At 45.2% G+C, this 18,922-nt stretch overlaps 1 protein-coding gene across 3 annotated transcripts in view, besides 5 other annotated features; it reads right to left on the bottom strand.

Moving 5' to 3' along the window:
- Positions 4,543–4,782: an enhancer, noted in NCBI's record as "active region_3100". NCBI's record gives its function as "activates an Ori minimal core promoter by ATAC-STARR-seq in GM12878 lymphoblastoid cells {active_cell/tissue: GM12878}" and the evidence as "EXISTENCE:reporter gene assay evidence [ECO:0000049][PMID:35858748]".
- RSU1 (Ras suppressor protein 1) overlaps positions 8,698–18,922 on the bottom strand; it is a 226,814-nt gene continuing 216,589 nt past the window's right edge. For all 3 annotated transcript variants that reach the window (NM_152724.3, NM_012425.4, XM_047425617.1), the window contains one exon: positions 8,698–11,583. In NM_152724.3, the coding sequence (NP_689937.2) occupies positions 11,481–11,583 (103 nt within the window). In that variant the 3' untranslated portion in view covers positions 8,698–11,480. The remainder of the gene's footprint in view (positions 11,584–18,922) is intronic.
- Positions 15,196–16,395: an enhancer, noted in NCBI's record as "BRD4-independent group 4 enhancer chr10:16639108-16640307 (GRCh37/hg19 assembly coordinates)". NCBI's record gives its function as "activates an origin of replication core promoter dependent on BRD2, P300/CBP, MED14 and CDK7 cofactors, and independent of BRD4, by STARR-seq in HCT116 cells {active_cell/tissue: HCT116}" and the evidence as "EXISTENCE:reporter gene assay evidence [ECO:0000049][PMID:35650434]".
- Positions 15,196–16,682: a biological region, named in NCBI's record as "BRD4-independent group 4 enhancer GRCh37_chr10:16639108-16640307".
- Positions 15,797–16,091: an enhancer, noted in NCBI's record as "tiled region #4915; HepG2 Activating non-DNase unmatched - State 24:Quies, and K562 Activating DNase matched - State 8:EnhW". NCBI's record gives its function as "activates a minimal TATA promoter and a strong SV40 promoter by Sharpr-MPRA in HepG2 and K562 cells {active_cell/tissue: HepG2 | K562}" and the evidence as "EXISTENCE:reporter gene assay evidence [ECO:0000049][PMID:27701403]".
- Positions 16,107–16,682: an enhancer, noted in NCBI's record as "H3K27ac-H3K4me1 hESC enhancer chr10:16640019-16640594 (GRCh37/hg19 assembly coordinates)". NCBI's record gives its function as "activates a minimal SCP1, AML or CMV promoter by ChIP-STARR-seq in naive H9 embryonic stem cells {active_cell/tissue: H9 hESC(naive)}" and the evidence as "EXISTENCE:reporter gene assay evidence [ECO:0000049][PMID:30033119]".

Raw genomic sequence — 18,922 nt, forward strand, 5'->3', positions numbered from 1 at the left:
GGGAGGAGGGAGAGGATCAGAAAAAGTAACTAATGGGTACTAGGCTTAGTACCTGGGTGATGAAATAATCTGTACCACAAACCCCTGTGACAAGAGTTTACCTATATAAAAAACCTGCACATTTACCCCTGAACCTAAAAGTTAAAAAAAAAAAAGTGTATGGATGTTTCATAATCAGTGCAGTATAGACATGTAATAAGCACCCAATAAGTATTTATTTTAAAAATATTTTAGAGGGCTGGGTGTGGTCACTCACGCCTGTAATCCCAGCACTTTGGGAGGCAGAGGTGGGTTGATCACGAGGTCAGGAGTTCGAGGCCAGGTTGGCCAACATGGTGAAACCCTGTCTCTATTAAAAATATCAAAAATGAGCTGGGCATGGTGGCACGCCCCTGTAATCCCAGCTACTGGGGAGGCTGAGGCAGGAGAATCGCTTGAACCCAGGAAGTGGAGGTTGCAGTGAGCCAAGATCATGCCATTGCACTCCAACCTGGGCAACAGAGCAAGACTCTGTTTCGAAAACTGTGTGTGTGTGTGTGTGTGTGTGTGTGTGTGTGTGTGTGTGTGTATTATATATATATTTCAGAGAAACATTGCCATATTAAAAACTTAATTCTAAATATTTCATATATATACACATTGATGATTATCACAATGATGATTGTCACACTGATGCTTTTTTAAAAAGGGTATACAGTAAAAATAAGTCTTCATTTTCTATCCCCAGATGCAACCTCTGTTACATTGCTTAGATCTCATTCTTGGGATAATCTGTGAATATATAAGCATATATTTCACATATGTTCAACAAATAGTCTTTTGATGAATTAATTCATGAATCACTCTTATTACAAACCCATTGTGACAGTTTTTCATGGGGGCAATTAGATGAGAGCTTCTCATTCTGTTCATAAAACTGTGTTGAGTAAGCCTTACCTAGGCAACAACAACAAAAAACCCATAATTTAGCCAGCTCAGGAAAAATAAAACACAAAAACAAACCTTTTCATATTGAATCTTTTTGTCTTTGTTTATAGCTCTGGATCAGAAAATCAACAATGATTATAGAATGTCACCCAACTCCTACAAAGAAAGGAGAATTCTTTAATGAGGTAACCAAAAAGATTTTCTTTCCACAGAAGAGATAATTCTGTTCTTAGACTTTATTTTAGCAACAGAAGCTACCTGGTGAAATAGGAACCTTTCAGGTTTGGTTTTGTTTTGTTTTCCCGAGACAGAGTCTCCCTCTGTTGCCCAGGTTGGAGTGCAATGGCACAATCTCGGCTCACTGCACCCTGCGCCTCTGGGGCTCAAGCGATTCTCCTGCCTCAGCCTCCCAAGCATTTGAGATTACAAGTGCCTGCCACCATGCCTGGCTGATTTTTGTATTTTTCGTAGATACATGGTTTTGCCATGTTGGCCAGGCTGATCACCAACACCTGACCTCAGGTGATCTGCCCGCCTTGGCCTTGCAAAGTCCTGGGATTACAGGAATGAGACACGGTGCCTGGCCCCATTTGGGTTCTTAAATGGGGAGCCGGAAACACAAGGCTGGGGTAGAGAATGTCCCCAAGGCACTCCGGGGGATTCACTGCCCAGGCTGATTTGCCTCATCCAAGGCAGTTGGTCACACATAGTTCTGCGCCTGCCAACAACGGAATGCAGAGCCAGACAGCCCTGGTTTGCTCTGGCTTCCCTGTTCTGAGTACAGTGGCAACCACTGCAGGCAACGTTTCATGTTGCAGCGTCTGCTCTGAGCTTCGTTCTGGGCGCCTGTGTTTGTTTACTAAGTGCACTATATCCAAGTACCACCAATGTCGTGGTGGCTTAAACTAGCAGAAATGTGTTCTCTTACATTTCTGGAGGTGAGAAGTCCAAAAATCAAGGTGTCAGGAAGACCACGATCCCTCTGAAGTCTCACGGGAAGGACCCTTCCATGCCCCTTTCAGCTTCTCCTGTTTCTGGCTGTCCTAGGCTCTCTTGGCTTATTACTGTATCCCTCCAATCTCTGCCTGTTTCATCAAGTGGTCTCTTCCCTGCATGTCCCTGTGTTGGCACACAGCCTTCTCATAAGGACACTGTCATTGGATTTAGAGCTCACCCTAATCCAGAATAACCTCATTTGAACATGGCTGACTGTATCTGCAAAGACTATTTCTAAATAAGGTCACATTCTGAGAGTTCCGGTGGACATGAATCTTTGAGACACACTCTTCAACCCAGAACAGTGTCCAAGGCAGGCAAGTGTGACCAACTCTCTGCGGGGTCTTCCCAGCCAGCAGGGACACCAGTATCTTTTACACACCTGAGGTTTAAATAACTACTTTCTCATACCATTTTTTTTTTTTTTTTTTTTTTTTTTTTTTTAGCTAGGGTCTTGCTCTGTTACCCAGGCTGGAGGGCAGTGGCATGATCATAGCTTGCTGCAGCTTAGAACTACTGGGGTCAAGAAATCCTCCAGCCCCAGCCTACCTAGTGATGTAGTTAACATCACTAACTACATCTGCAAGGACTATTTCTAAATATTTCATATTAGTGTCTTTGTAGAGCTCTGATTTTATGACAGTTTATGAAACATCGGTGCAATGGTGAACTCAATTTGTGCTAATTGCTCTTCATGGTGAAGAGCAATGTTAGAGAATACAAGCCACCACGTTGGTGGTATTTGAATATAGTGTGCCTAGGAAACAAGTAGCTAGGACTATAGGTGCTTGCCATCATGCCTGGCTAATTTTTAGGATGTTTATTTTAGACCTGGCATGGTGGCGGCTCACGCCTGTAATCCCAGTACCTTGGGGGGGGCCAAGGTGCATGGTTCACCTGAGGTCAGAGGTTCAAGACCAGCCTGGCCAACATGGCCAAACCCCGTCTCTACTAAAGATACAAAAAAATTAGCTGGGTGTGGTGGCGCATGCCTGTAATCCCAACTGCTTGGGAGGCTGAGGCAAGAGAATCATTTGAACCTGGGAGGCAGAGGTTGTAGTGAGCAGAGATCGCCCCACTGCACCCCAGCCTTCGTGACAGACCAAGACTGTGTCTCAAAAAAAAAAAAAAAAAAAAAAAAAAAGAATTTTTTTGTAGAGACAGTGTCTCCCTATGTTACCAAGACTGGTCTCAAACTCCTGGCCTCAAGAGATCCTCCCACCTTGGCCTCCAAAGTGCTGGAATTACAGGCATGAGCCATTGTGCCTGGCCTCATGTCTTTATGGCCTTTCATTCAAATCCTTCCAGTTACTGATCCTAACCGGCAACAGCAAAGCTCCACGTCACACTGGAGCTGCTAAATGGTTTGATGATCTGCATCTCAGACCCAGCCTTCCTTAATGAAAATACTGGTTTCACAGCTGCATTGTGCACGGCGAGTTAAAAAGTGGCTCTTTGTTAAAATCCTGATTGCACAATGACAAATACAGCAGCCCACACAAACAGTGAGATTGTCCACCTGGTGTGGCAGGGCTATTTTGGGTGGCGCTCTGGGGGAGTTATGAATGGACTGTGCTTCTTTCCCTGCTTTCAGCTATTAGTGAGTGGAAGCGCTTTCTTCCTAGGGCAGGAAGGAGTCAGTTTTGCTGACAACATCTGTACACTGGAAATGGCAGCATCAGAATGTGCTGGGCAGTAGATGTATACAGAAGACTGTGTCTCCAGAGACAGATAAAGTTGGTCCTTTGAATGCAGACACTGGGAGGCTTCCTGGGGTGGACGTTGGGGGACAGCACAATTCTTGACCCCAGGGAGCTGTGTGTATGTCAGCTATGTAACTGAAGTCTTGTTGATTCTAAGGAGGGTCTGACACAAACCATAAGTAACTGGAGATGAGCAATTCTAATTACAAGTCTTTTCTGATAATGCTATATTTGTATCCAACCCTGATTGCTTAATTCACTCCCAATTCCTGGGTCTGAAAACATAGAGATATTGGCTGACTCCTATATCCCATCACAGGACATGGTCTCTCCATTTATAGAGGGAGTATAAATGCTTAGGGAAAAATGTCAGTAGGGCATTAGAAATTTCCAGTGGAAACGGAACATGCATGCAATAATGTTTGAATGTCCAAGGTTTCAGGTACTCACTAGCTGTGAGACCAGGATGGATGAGATGCGGTCTCTCCTCTCTGGTTTTCCTTTTCCTTTTCCTTTTTCTTTACCTTTTTCCTTTCTTTTCCTTTCCTTTCTCCTTTCCTTTTTCCTTTCCTTGATAGAGTCTCACCATGTCACCCAGGCTGGAGTGCGGTGGCAAGTTCACAGCTCACTGCAATTCTCATCTCCAGGCTCAGGTGATTCTCCCACCTCAGCTTCCCGAGTAGCTGGGACCACAGGCCTGTGCCACCACATCTGGCTAAAAAATTTTTTTTGTAGGGACAGCGTTTCATTATGTTGCACGCTGGTCTCTAACTCCTGAGTTCAAGCGATCCTCCCACCGTGGTCTCCCAAAGTGCTAGGATTACAGATGTGAGCCACCTCACCCAGCCCTCAGTCTCTGATTGAATGACTAAAAAACAAAGTCTCCAGGTGGTCTGATGATGCTAGCCCAAACCTGCCTCAAAACGAAACCCAAAGCCACTCTCTATCTATTTCAGGAAGCGCTGCTCTTTGGGTGGGTCATATGAGGGAATCCCCTTTGGAGTAAAATAGTTCACTGATAGGACAGTGTTGGAAGTGAATTTCTGGATGAGACGGGGAAAGGGCAAAGTTATTCTCAGAAGTGAGGCTTATCCGCTTTGGTCAATCCATCACTGAACCATCAGAGAGATGCTGTCGCCTGACCAAGCATGAGGAACAGAGACAGCAGAAACCAAAGGTTTCTGTCATTTATAGAAATGGGGTAAAGCTGTCATCATGCAGTAACTTGAATGTGTTAATAAAATGAACACTTAAGGAGCTCAAAAGCAGAAACTTCCTTCATCGGAAGGAAAATTGCTGCCTTTTGGATAGGCCAAGGGAGTCTTGATTGACAGCAGAGTGTGATGTGGGATTAAGGAAAGGACATTAGCTCTACAGTCAAATGCATGTTCTTTTCCATCCTTCCTCTGCCACTTGCCAGCTGTGGGCTCTTGCGGGAAGTTCCTTAATTTCTCTGAGGTCAAATTTCCCACAAGATGAGGATATCCATTGAGTGAGAATGAAAGGAAACAAAGTGCCTGATACATGAACAGGCTGCAATCAATGAGTGCTATTATTAGTAAAAGAAAATAGATTAAGAGGGAAATTTAACAGTGGCCAATCACCAAATTCTATTGTGTACAAAATAAGCATATGGTAAGAAAGAGGTAATACACAAAATGTTTATGCAGTCTTAACAGAAACATGATGTTAGAGCCCAGGAGTCTCCCAAAGCTGTTGTTGATGGGAAGATCAATTATAAAAATAAGGACACACCATATATGGTAGGATCACATGATACTATAAATGGAGAGATACACACAGGAATGATTAATGTCTAATTTTAGGTCACAAAATGTCCAGAGAACAGAGACTTTTCACTTTACTTGCCAATTCTGCTGCTTCTAAACATCTGAATTGACTCACATTGACAAGGCCAGTTTGGATTTTGGCTTTGACATGAACCCTTCTTCTGGGTTCATACAGGTAAATTGGGGTGCCAGCCCTTTCTGGTTTTGTTACTGAAGAAATTGATGGTTGTTTGAGGAAGGCTAAATGGTCAAGTATGAAACAATTGTGTAATTATAAGGAAAACCAAACATCCAGGTAAAGGTTTGAACTCTTAACAGGGTTGCATAAATTCTCACCTGTAATAATATCCATACATTTTTTTTCCCTTAGGAGAATTCAGCTTTGATAAAGTAGCCCAGAATGATGAGGTATAAAAGGGATGTCTAGGACTTTTTCCCTTCCCTCTACCTTAATATTAGCTTTATATCATCCAAATCACAAGTATCCAATTTGTAGTCTATTCAATTAAATAATTATTGAGCCCCTATTGTATACAAGGCACCATTCTGGGTGCTGGGGATGTAACAGTTGATAGAATAATCAGCAGAAGTTTCTCTGCAAAGGGCCAGATAGTAGAAACCTTTTGCTTTGTGAGCCATAAGGTCTCTGTGTCAGCCAGTCAGCTCTGTTGTGGTCACATAAAAATAGCCACAGACTGGCTGGGCATGGTGGCTCATGCCTGTAATCCCCGCACTTTGGGAGGCTGAGGCAGATGGATCAGTTGAGGCCAGGAGTTCGAGACAAGCCTGGCTAACATGACAAAACCCTGTCTCTATTAAAAATATAAAAATTAGGCTGGGCGCAGTGGCTCAAGCCTGTAATCCTAGCACTTTGGGAGGCAGAGGTGGGCGGATCACGAGGTCAGGAGATGGAGACCATCCTGGCTAACATGGTGAAACCCCGTCTCTACTAAAAATACAAAAAATTAGCTAGGCATGGTGGCGGGTGCCTGTAGTCCTAGCTACTCGGGAGGCTGAGGCAGGAGAATGGCGTGAACCCGGGAGGCGGAGCTTGCAGTGAGCCAAACTGCACTCCAGCCTGGGAGACAGAGCAAGACTCCGTCTCAAAAAAAAAAAAAAAAAAAAAAAAAAAAAATTAGTTCGGTCTGATGGTGCACACCTGTAATCCCAGCTAGTTGGAAGGCTGAGGCATGAGAACCACTTGAATCCTGGAGGTGGAGGTTGCAGTGAGCTGAGATTGTGTCACTGCATTCTAGCCTGAGCAAGAGAGGGAGACTCCCTTTCCAAAATTAAAAAAGAAAAAAAGGAAAGAAAAAAGCAGCCACAGACCTTAAGTGAATGAGAATGGCTGTGTTCCCACAACTTTATTTACAAAAACAGGCGTGGGCCAGGTTTGGCTTCTGGGTGCCTCTGAGCTGTAGCTGGCTGACCCTTTTCCTGGAGGAACCTCTACTTCGCTGGGGGTGGAAGGCAGGTGACGGACAAAATAAATTGCAAATTTAAAGCAGGGTAATCAGGGGAGGCTCTGTTGAGAAAGTGACTGTTTAACCAGGATTTGAAGTAGATGAAGGAGTTACAGGTATACATTTGGCAGAACATTCTAGAAAAGGATCACCTGCACAAAAGTCTTGAAGGGGGAAGAACCTGGAGGAGTAGGGGGACCCTAGACCCTGGTAACCTAGGCTTTCACTCTGAGTGAAAGACACAAGGGGACTTCACTGGAAGACAGTGGGCAGAAGAGCGTCCTGATGTGATGTCAGCACATAAAAATTTGCTCTGTTGCATGGAGATCTCAGTGCAAGAGCAAAAGCAGGAGCCCCACCAGAGGATACCAGAGTGGAGCAGGCAAGAAGGCAGGGTGACCTGGGCCAGTGTGGAAGAAGATGGTGCAAAGTCTTCAGTTCATGTTATGTTTTGCAGGTAGAGACTAGAGGATTTTCTAACATAGTACTTGTGGGATATTATGACTACGAAGCTTTATTAGAAACTGAACTATTAGTGACTTAACTTTGCAATCTGAGGCAACAAACAAGTGTTGTGTGCAGAGTCTGTAGAAGGAGGTAAAAGTACAGGATAAAAAACATGGACGGGGCAACTTGTGTTTTCAGTGAATATGGACACAATGATTGGGACAACCCAGTTCTCTGCAGTCACAGGATTTTCTCTTCTACATTTAAGTTTATCAAAGTGAAGATTCACTTCTGCAGAGTGGTGTACAAGTCACTTCTATTCCAAAGGGTGAACCTGATGTGACTGGGGGCCTGTCGCTTTGTCCCACAGAGTATTTCCTAACGTGGCTTCCACAGATTATAAGGGCGGTACAAAGCTTAGAGAAGTGGTTCTGTGGCCAAATGGCCCATCCACTTTTTCTACTTGCTCCTACCTTAATTGAAAAAAAAAAAAAAAAGGCTCCTAATAAACATTATATCACCTCCAGCAAATAAAGAGAAACACTTCTCTCCTAGATCTGAGAACCATTATACAGTTTATTCTCAAATAACCTGCCTTACCTATCCCACAAGGCTCTTGCACAAACCATGTGATTATGTGTATGAAAGTATTTTGCATAACATCTCTAAGCTACCTAGCCACGTGGGCAAGGACAGTGTTTTACATAAAGGGGAGAAACCCTGTGGAAGAAGTTTCGAATGAGGAATAAAAAAATATGCACGGCTTCCCATGTGGGCTCTTAGCACTTGGAAGACCAGACTGCAAGGCATCAAAGGCGGGGTGGGGGGGCCAGCTAATTTCATCATTGGGCTAAAAAGGTTAGGTTATCTTTGTGAAAAGGCCACCTTTCAGCCGGGCGCAGTGGCTCATGCCTGTAATTTCAGCACTTTTGGAGGACGAGGCGGGCAGATGGATCACCTGAGGCCAGGAGTTCGAGACCAGCCTGGCCAACATGGTGAAACCCCGTCTCTACTAAAAATACAAAAATTAATTGGGCGTGGTGGCGGGTGCCGGAATCCCAGCTACTCGGGAGGCTGAGACAGGAGAATCGCTTGAACCCGGGAGGCGGAGGTGGCAGTAGGCTGAGATCACGCTATTGCATTTCAGCCTAGGTGACAGAGAGAGACTCCGTCTCAAAAAAAAAAAAGGCCACCTTTCAAACTTTGGATATTTTGTTTGCTGATCCAGATATCAAGTAACTAAAAACTGTAGGAAAAGACGTGAAATCCATTTTGGTAACAAAAAGAGAAAAAACCCTCCTGACATTTTATATTATGCCTTGAGCTTAAATATATATTTCCTGGATTGCATAATATACCATGACATACCAATTTGATTTTGAAAAATACATGCATTTAATATTTTCTGATTACAAAAGTATATGTGTTCATTAGAAAAAATTTAAGTACAGAATGAATAAGTAAAATTCTAGAAAGTCTTAGTTCACAATACAGAGATAATTTAACTGCCTTAAAATAATTGTGTTCACCTCTATTTAATTTTTATGCACACGTATTACAAACAAGCTTCCTTTTGACACAGCTGGGACCATCCTTATATAGTTAGTTTTAAAAATCTTGCTTTTTCTGTTTAATCAGATGTTATGATTCTCTCCCTTTGCCCTTATTGTTGAACAATTTTTTTTTCTTGGGAACGGAATCTTGCTCTGTCGCCCAGGCTGGAGTGCGGTGGCTTAATCTCAGCTCAGTGCAACCTCTGCCTCCCGGGTTCAATCAATTCTCCTGCCTCAGCCTCCTGAGCAGCTGGGACTACAGGCGCATGCTGCGACGCCCGGCTAATTTTTTGTATTTTAGTAGAGACGGGGTTTCACCGTGTTGCCCAGGCTGGTCTCAAACTCCTGAGCTCAGGCAATCTTCCCACCTTGGCCTCCCAAAGTGTTAGGATTACAGGCATGAGCCACTGTGCCTGGCCGTTGTTCAACAATTTTTAATGTCATAAAAGCCTCATGCAGACACACCGTAATTCATTGAACCCCTTTTCCACTGACAGGGATCAGGCTTTTCTCTGTTTTTCTTGTGTATGCAATGCTATAAGGACAATTCCTAAACATTGCAGTTTGTGGGGATCTCGGATAATTTCCTCAGGATACATTCCTAGAAATAAAAATTCTGGGCCCCAGTACACAATCTTAAGGTTTTGCCACCTATCGTCAAACTGCTACGGCCTTTCTGGAGCGAAATTTATATTCCCAGTAGCCATGTGAAAGAATGTTTATTTCATGTTACTCCTCTTGCACTTAATACTGCCTTAAAAAATATTTGCACATTTCTCTTTGTTACACATGGCTTCTTTTTGCTTTGATCTGTATACTTTTTAAAAATATTACCAGTGAGTCTTCGATGATTGCTTCATGTTTCTGGGAGGTATTTCGTTCCTGTGCGTTTCTGGAGTTTTCATCTTTTGAAAAAAATGACTCATAAGAGCCCTTCATATTGTTAGATTTTTACTAATGCTTTCTTGCTGGTTTAATTTTAGGTTAAGTCTTTCCTATCCACAACAGCAAAGGCCTTGTTCTCCCTCGTGCAATCTCAAAAGCTCAAAAGTCAATTAAAAAAATTCAGGCAGAGGCATACATGGCACCTATAAAAATGATATCAACTCTATCCCTAAACAGGGGATGGGACCTGGGGAAGCCACTTCCCACATTTAAATGTTCTATCAGGAATTTGTCTAGAAGCCAGAAGTTTAGACCTTGCTCTGTGGCCTCTCTGATTGAAATGCGAAGTCTGTTTCCTAAGTAACTCAGAACTTGTTGTTTGATTTTGATTTTTGACTTTTTTATATGCCCCAGTGGGTCCTGGTCTTGGGAGCTCAACTGGGAAGCCGAAAGGATACAGCAGAGATTTTATATGCCCCAGTGGGTCCTGGTCTTGGGAGCTCAACTGGGAAGCCGAAAGGACACAGCAGAGAAGGGCAGGCCCCCTCTCCCAGGCCATTTGACTCTCCCAGGCCATTTGAAAAGACGGTGCATCTTCACATACCATTTTTTTTGTGTCGGCCTTCTGGGGTTGACAGCCCTTTCAGTGAGCACAAAACCTCAGCTTGCATTTATTTTGATTTTCGTAGGTATCACTGTTGAAAAGAAGGAAAGCTGCCTATCACAGATGTTAAACAAACAATTGATTGTTTAATGACTCTGCAACTGTGGTTTCCACCCTGGGTGTGGTGTAGCGCGTGCACATTTACACAACTTCCTTGGCATCGAAGTCGCTTAGAAGAATGCTTCGATGCGAGCAGATTTTCCGCCGTGACAAAATACACAGTTGAGGTTTTTTCTCTCTCTCTTTCACAGTTCTTGTCTACCAGCCCCTGGCAGAAATCACCATTTCTTCGGCGAAGGAATGCTACTTTCCAAAATCCTTTGGCAGAATCTCCTAGAGATTTGTTTTTCTGCTTCCTAATTTAGAAAGTCTTCAAAGAAAAAAAAAACTTGACAAATTAATGTGAGAAGAAACGAACTGTGATTTAATTTTGCATTTCTTTCATGAAAAGTTTATCATGTATAACCAATAAAATTGGATAAGATGATTTTGGGGGAGAAAAGTAAATGAAAATGTGTTATACCCCAAGATCAGACTGTTCTTTTATTCTGAGTCAATAAGTAACATGTGATACAAACTCAAGATTTTATTAAAATCATTTGTAAGTTAAATTAGCATATCTCGGTGGTGAAGGAAGACTTTTAATAAAGCAAAATAATGAGTTAGGTGAATCAACAGAAAGAGTGAAAAGTGTTAACAGTGACATTTAAATGGTTACATGATTTTAATTATTCTTTTGATAATAAGCAACCTTGTGATATCTATTCAAGAAAAGCCAGAGCCCACTATGGAATTCGCAGTTGAATAAGAGCTTTGTTCCCTGCTTTTGGTAATGTTAAAGAAACAAATGGAAATGGTTTAAAGACCTTATAACAATCTCCCACCTAGCAAAAGAATCTAAAAGGTAAGGTGGGAAGCATTAGAAAGAGAGTGAAAAGAAAAATAAAAAAGGCCTCACACGCAGCATTGGGTTTATTTGAGAGACAGGGCAAGAGAGAATGAAGTGTTGGAGAGAGAAGGTGCTGGAAGGCCAGCCGATGCCAATCCCTTCCTTATCTGTTCTTGGCTGCCAGGGGTTTCCGGCTGATCTTTTTCGATTTGTCATTATTCTTCTTCGGTGGTTCTGGGTTGGCCTGCATGTGTCTGCCGTAGAGGCTGCAAAGACAGAGAAAGGACACTATCAGATCTATTTTGCCAACACAAGATAGCTTTCACTGGAAGAGCTTTCAGGAATAGAAGAATCTCCAAAAATATTCAGTAAGCCAAAGAAAACCAAAAGATCACTTCTGTGTTCTCTGGGTGCTACGCTGTGTTGAATATAAAATTCTCTTACACATGCACGCCATGCCATGATGTCCGATCACGGACCAGTCTCTTGGGATTTCACACTCACTGGGAGAAGTGGTCAGGCCCTGCTCAGCCGTTCTGGACTGAAGTTCAAAAGCTTATGAGTGTTTAAGTCGACAGTGATAAAAATGGGATTGAATGGAAGAGACAGAGTGTCCATTTAGTGAAAAGCGAGCATGATGCTTGGCCCGAAAGCCCAGGGGCTGGCTAATGGGACAGAGAGCAATGGTGTCCAAATCTGTGCTGGCTGCTCACCCATGATGGATAGCGTGGGGCTGGCCACCACACATCAATGCCACATTAATAAGTACCGCTGATTAAATGCTGACAAAGTGCCCTATAATTACGGTGGATGGCATTCATTGCGCAGCGAAGCTGGCTCCGTGGCTGAGAGGATTTAACTGAACAGCAGAAGGTAATTAATCGATAATTTATGAGTAATTCTGATTAAACCAAATTAAAAGCCACCCTAAAATAAATACAGCTCAAACTTAACTCCTTTTATTGATATAACTGTGTCTCCAAGAGAGCCTGGTGGGTGTCTCAGGTCCTCTGCAGCAAGGGCATACCCGGCTCCACAGCCCGCAGTTGCTGTGAATGAGGGTTGGCACAGAGCCTGACGTCCCTGTACCAGGTGGCCCAGCTCCAGCATCCACACAAGGAATATGCACACTCTCTGGATGCTGGCATCTTGGGCTGTTTAGCATATACTGGCGTCCGGCATTTTTTTTTTTTTCCTGAGTGTCTCACTCTGTCACTCTGCTCCCCAGGCTGGAGGGCAGTGTATGATCATAGCTCACTGCAGCCTCAAACTCCTGGGCTCAAGCGATCTCATGGCTCAGCCTCCTGAGTAGCTGGACTACAGATATATGCCACCATGCCTAGCTAATTAAAAAAAATATATATATCATATATAATATCTATTATATGATATATATGATAGATAATATGATATATATGATATATATCATATATTATCTATATCATATATTATCTGTATATTATATGTATCATAGATAATATATGATACATATAGATAATATATCATATATATCATATAAAATATACTATATTATCTATTATATATCATATATATATATATTTTTTTTTTTTTGAGATGGAGTCCTATTGTGTTGCCCAGGCTGGAGTGCAGTGGTGTGATCTTGGCTCACTGCAACCTCTGCCTCCCAGGTTCAAGCAATTCTCCTGCCTCAGCCTCCTGAGTAACTGGGCTTACAGGCATGCACCACCATGCCCAGCTAATTTCATATTTTTAGTAGCAATGGGGTTTCACCATGTTGGCCAGGCTGGTCTTGAACTCTTGACTTCCAGTGATCCACCCACCTTGGCCTCCCAAAGTGCTGAGATTCAGGCGTGAGCCACCATGCCCCAACAAAAAAATTATTTTAATAGACATGGGGTCTCACTAGGTTGCCCAGGCTGGTGTTACACTCCTGGCCCCAAGCAATCCTCCTGCCTTGGCCTCCCAAAGTGGGATTACAGGGATGAGCCACTGTGCCTGGCGTCCAATACTAGTGTTCTTGATGACATCTCCACCATGGCTGACAGGCAGAGGGGAAGGGCTGGCAGATGGAACTGCCCAGTTGATTTTGTGATCCAGGAAAGCTGGACACTATGGTTTTGAAAGGCCATACTGTATTCTAACTATTCCAGTCTTCCAAGTGTTGCCTTGGAGGCGGTACAAGCAGGTTCCATCGGCGGTCACTCTCACGGAGTGTAGAACACAGGGTTCAGAGCTGGCCAGAGACAGACCTACGAGCCGGAGCGTGCACATCCAGCCAGGTGCTGGGATTGCACTCCAGGAAAAGGGGAGGCCATTCTTTTGCATCAAGAAGTTTCCATATGTCCTAGACAGAGAACATAAGAGCCTGCAAATTGGCTTTCCACATCTCTAGGAATTAGTTTGGAGGCCTTTTTGCTTGTGTAATGGAGACAGTAGCCCTGTCCTGACCAGCCCGGCTGTGCCTCCTCTGAAGCCACAGAAGAAGAAACAACTCCTTAAGAGAATCTGAACTTCGGGAGGGTAAGGCAGGCAGATCACGAGGTCAAGAGATGGAGACCATCCTGGCCAACATGGTGAAACCCCATCTCTACTAAAAAAAAGAAAAAATTAGCTGCGCATAGTGGTGCATGCCTGTAGTCCCAGCTACTCAGGAGGCTGAGGCAGCAGAATTACTTGAACCTGGGAGGCAGAGGGTGCAGTGAGCTAAGATCACACCACTGCACTCCAGCCTGGCAACAGAGTGAGACTCTGTCTCAGAAAAAAAAAAATCTGCTCCATGAAAGCGCATTTTTCAACCTATAGGGGCTCCCCCAACCTACACTTTTAAAAGGGTCACGGGTCCCCCTGAAGACGAGGCCATGGGCACCTGGGGGTCCTGGGTCCTGTGTCCCAGGTGGGAGACCACTGGTTTAGATAGGGAGTAAAGTTCAGCGGGTCCAACCTTGTCTCTGTTGCTGCCCCCAATTTCCAAAGATACCTGTGTTCAAGTCCTGAAACCTGGGAGTATGTTACCTTACATGACAAAAGGGGCTCTGCAGGTGTCGAAGTTAAGGACCACCCTGCATTAGCCATGTGGACTCAACCCGTGTTCCTCCTCCTCGGCATCTCTCCCAGACACAACAGATAGGCAGAGGAAATGCTCAAAGTAGATCCCTCCATTCTATTCCTCATCCTCCAAGCTCCGAAACATGCGTACTCCTCTAACAGCACCTGCCCTTGTCCTCAGATGTTGATCTACTCAGGGCCACTGACTCAATGCTCAAGGGCTTAGCACTGCAGAGTAATAAACCCTGGAGGCATCAGGTCTCCAAGCTCCCCTCACCTGGCAGGAAGCAAGGGTCTGACTCTGTGTCTTCACACAGGCACCTACGGCCTAGGTAGCTTCAGCTACACACACAGCTTCCTTCCAGCCTCAGAGATCTTTCCTCTGTTTCCCAAACCCCTTATCCGCACAGAGCAAAAAAATACGTATGTACATTTTTATTCAAAGATAGTTTCAAACTTTAAGGATTATTATTATTATTTTTTCAGATGGAGTCTTGCTCTGTCACCCAGGCTGGAGTGCAGTGGCAGTATCTCAGTTCACTGCAGCTTCTGCCTCCCGAGTTCAAGTGATTCTCGTGCCTCAGTCTCCCAAGTAGCTGGAATTACAAGTGTGTACCACCATGCCTGCCTAATTTTTGTATTTTTAGTAGAGAGGGGGTTTCGCCACGTTGGACATGCTGGTCTCAAACTCCTGACCTCAAACGATCCACCCACCTTGGAAAGGCTGGGATTACAGGCGTGAGCCACGCACCTGGCCTCCAAACTGTAAGGATTCTAAAAGTTGACAGAAAGATGACTCCACTGTTCATGCCCATGGAAACCTAGCAATACCCGAGTGTAAGGAAAGAGTCTTGGCAATGATAAGAGGTCAGCAGAGGGAGAGGAGCAGTAGGAATTGAGAGGAATTGACAAGGCCCTGCTTCGAGTCAAGTGTTGAATGCGGGAAGGGCTGAGGTGGGTGTTCAGCTTGGCCCTGACGATGGGGATCCAGGCAAGCGATTTCAGAAGGGGTTGCAAAAGCTGCAGGGCTCTTCTCCTTTTTCGGAGCGAACTGGAATGTTCCACTGTTTCAGTCTCTGCCTTTTTATATTCAGATCCCACTGTGTGTGTCTGAACATCCTGGGGCTGCAGAACAAGTCACTACAAAGGGCCAGGTGGGAGCCAGTGGCCCTGAACTTGCTGCTCAAATCCTGCTTTTGACGTTTATTAGCTGATGACTCTGGGCAAATGATCAGCAATGTTTGCCTCCCTCTCCGTGCCTCAGTTTCTTTATCTGTAAGCTAGAGATGTCGTTTGTCTTCCTTGCAGGGTGTTTCGGTAAGCCCAGCACCATGGCAAACCTACTGGAAGCAGTCAGCGAATGCTTATTGAAAAGTAGGACAGACATGGAGTTACAGTCAAGAGTGATTAAATCAAGATAATTATATGATTACCTTCCTTCTTTAGGGCTGTTTCCCCTGCAAAATAACAGGGTATTTTCTATCAACACTAAATCCCCAAACACCTCTGGAACAAAGGTTTTAATCCTTTTTGAAGAAAGCAACTAAGACAGAGCTAAATGCATGGCCCACTTCCTCAGTGAGTCATCGGCAGGGCTGGATGACGCTGCTGTCCGCCGCACGATCCTTTAACTCCTCCAGCTGTGTGGGCAGATGAGAGCTGGCGTTTTACTAAGCGGCCATAAGTGGCCGTTTTCACAGGGATGTGGCTATGGCAGTGGCGGTGCAGTCACAACAAGCTCCAAAGTCTGGTGTTCCATTCCTGGCTCTGCCAGTTACGAGCCACGGGGCCTCAACTGGGCAAGTAAGTGTGGTAGACAGAATCACAGCTCCCAAAGATGGCCACATCTGATCCCTGAAACCTGTGACTGTTATTTTCCATGGCAGTGGGGACTCTGCAGGCATGACTTAGTTAAGAACCTTGAGCTGGGAAGAGAATCCTGGATGATCCCGTGGGCTCAGTGTCATCAAAAGGGTCCTTATAAGAAAGCAGCAGGAGGGACCAGCTGCAGGGGTACACATCTGTAATCCCAGCACTTCAGGAGGCCAAGGCGGGAGGATTGCTTGAGGCCAGGCGTTCACGACCAGCCTGGGCCATACAGGGAGACCCTATCTCTACAAAAAGTAAAGTAAAAAAAAAAAAATTAGCCAGGTGTGGTGGAGCACACCTGTAGTCCCAGCTACTTACTTGGGAGGCTGCATTGGGAGGATCGCTTGAGCCTGGGAGTTTGAGGCTGCAGTGAGCCGTGATCACACCACTGCATTCCAGCCTGGCCATAGGGCAAGACCTTAACAATCAATCAAAAATAAAAACAGGCAGGGGGTCAAAGTGAAAGAGATTTGAAGATGTTACACTGCAGTCTCTGAAGATGGGGAAAGGGGCTATGAACCAAGGAACACAGGTGGTCTGTGTAAGCCAGAAAAGCAAGGAAATGCTCTTCCCTAGAATCTCCTGCAAGAGGCAACCTAGCAACACTGGTTTCAGACTTCTGACCTCCAGAACTGTCAGGTAATACATTCGTTTTGTTTTCAACTACTAAGTTCTTGGTAATGTGTTAGAGCAATAGAGAACTAACATAGTAGGTGAGCCTCTCTGGGCCTGACAGGGTGGCCTGTCCGTGAGGATTCTGCTTAATTTCAATAGGGAAAATGAGTTTCTGGGATAAATTAAAAAGATGGAAAAATGAAAGAACCAAGACGCAGAGAGGCAAGGTGTGTCCCAAAGGAAAAATGGGTGTTGTTTCTACGAGAGGAAGTGCAAACAGCTTTGCAAACTGTCCCCTTGCTACTACGAACTGGCTGGTCCCTGTCCCACCATCCTCTGAAGCTAACACTCGTGGCTTGTGTTTTGCATGTACCTGGATTGAATTTATAGCAGTGACTGACTACAGAGGACAGAACAGTCAGTGCCATTGAAAGACAACCTATTCCTTGCAGTTCCTGAGAGGAAAGAGTGTGGCATACCATGCAGGGCCATGCGGGGAAGTGCCAGGATTGGCAAAAAACTTTTGTCCTGACCTCTTGTAACTTGTACTTTTCCCCCAGGGCCTTGGTGAACAAAGCTTCTCCATCTCCTTCACCTGGGAAACGCCAACCATCCCTCAAACCCGGGCACCACTGTCCCCTCCTAGACAGCATGTGCCCTCAGGGCCACTGCAGCTCTCTGCTCATGTGGTACCTGTCTGGCCCTACAGGAGCCCACCACATCCTGCACCAGGGATTCCTGGAGAACAGTCTCTGGGACTCACAGCCACCTCTGCCTTCGACACCCTACTCAGCCCTGAACGATGTGTGCCCTGGGGAACCTCCCTCACCTCCCACAGTCTGATGTCTCCATATGCAAGAGGAAGATGAAGATTCCCAGCTACCATGGAGAGCTTGGGAGAAGATTAAATTAGGGAAACGCTCTTGTCCCTTGGGCACACAGTAGGCATTTCAGAATGACAGCTGCCGCTTCTAACCTCTTAGGAAGCTTCTCTGACGCAGGCTACCAGGGCCAACTCCTTCCACCTCTTGCAGGCTGCTGCCATGCCCTCGTGCTGCCCGGAATCTGCACTGCCAGCCTGTGCCTTTGGTGTAGATCTTTCTGGGAAAGCTTCGGCGGGCACTGCCACTCGGCTATGACAGCTGGAGAGTGATAAAGGGAGCCTGGCCCAAGGTCACCCATGGGGCTGCAGTGGCTGGTGGGTAAAATGCTTAGCCCAGGAACTGGAGGAAACCCTTTGACATGGAACCCTAGAGCATCTCTCCCCTGATAGCCGGGATTTGGAGAGGAGAATTGGGAGATGATTAAGAAGTGGGAAAAAAACGAGAAACCGCACTCTGAAGTGACACAAGAGGATCAGTTGCTCTTGAGAGTCTGATGAACAGGCTTCTGTCACTGAAGATGGTTTCAAAGATGAGATGCCTGCGACGCTCTCAGTGGTGGGAGATGAGTGAACCAGTCTGCTAGGCTCACAAGGGCTCTTGATCTCACTGTGAAGCCCAAATGCCAACGTGGGAGTGGGCGCTGCCCTGAGCTGCCACCCCAGGAACCCCTGCTGAAGCCCACTTCTAGAAGGATCATGGGGAAATGATCCTGGAGACTGCCTGGGTTGGCAGGCTGGTGACTTCGGTGACGTGCTGTTAAAACAGCCTGCAGACAGGCCGCTTCAAGCTCCGTGCAACTGACCACTACCGCCTGGACAGCTAAGATTGCACAGCAAAAAATTCCAGTCCACTGTACTCAGAATAAATTTTGCAACTTTTTTTTTGATTAAGCAGATATATTATGCATGATTTTCTATTACTGACACGTGTTTTTTTTTTTTTAGGGGGGGGTGGTTTTTGAGACAGGGTCTTGCTCTGTCACCCAGGAATGCAGTGGCATGATCACAGCTCACTGCAGCATTGACCGCTGTGCTCAAGCGATCCTCCTGCCTCAGCCTCCCAAGTAGCTGGGGCTACAGGTGCAGATCACCATGCCCAGCTTATTTTAAAATCTTATTGTAGAGATGGGGTCTCACTATGTTGCTAGGCTGGTTTCAAACTCTGGGGTTCAAGCAATCCTCTCACCTCACACTCCCAAAGTGCTGGGATC

This window comes from Homo sapiens, chromosome 10, assembly GCF_000001405.40.
Source record: "Homo sapiens chromosome 10, GRCh38.p14 Primary Assembly".
Lineage (NCBI taxonomy): Eukaryota > Metazoa > Chordata > Mammalia > Primates > Hominidae > Homo > Homo sapiens.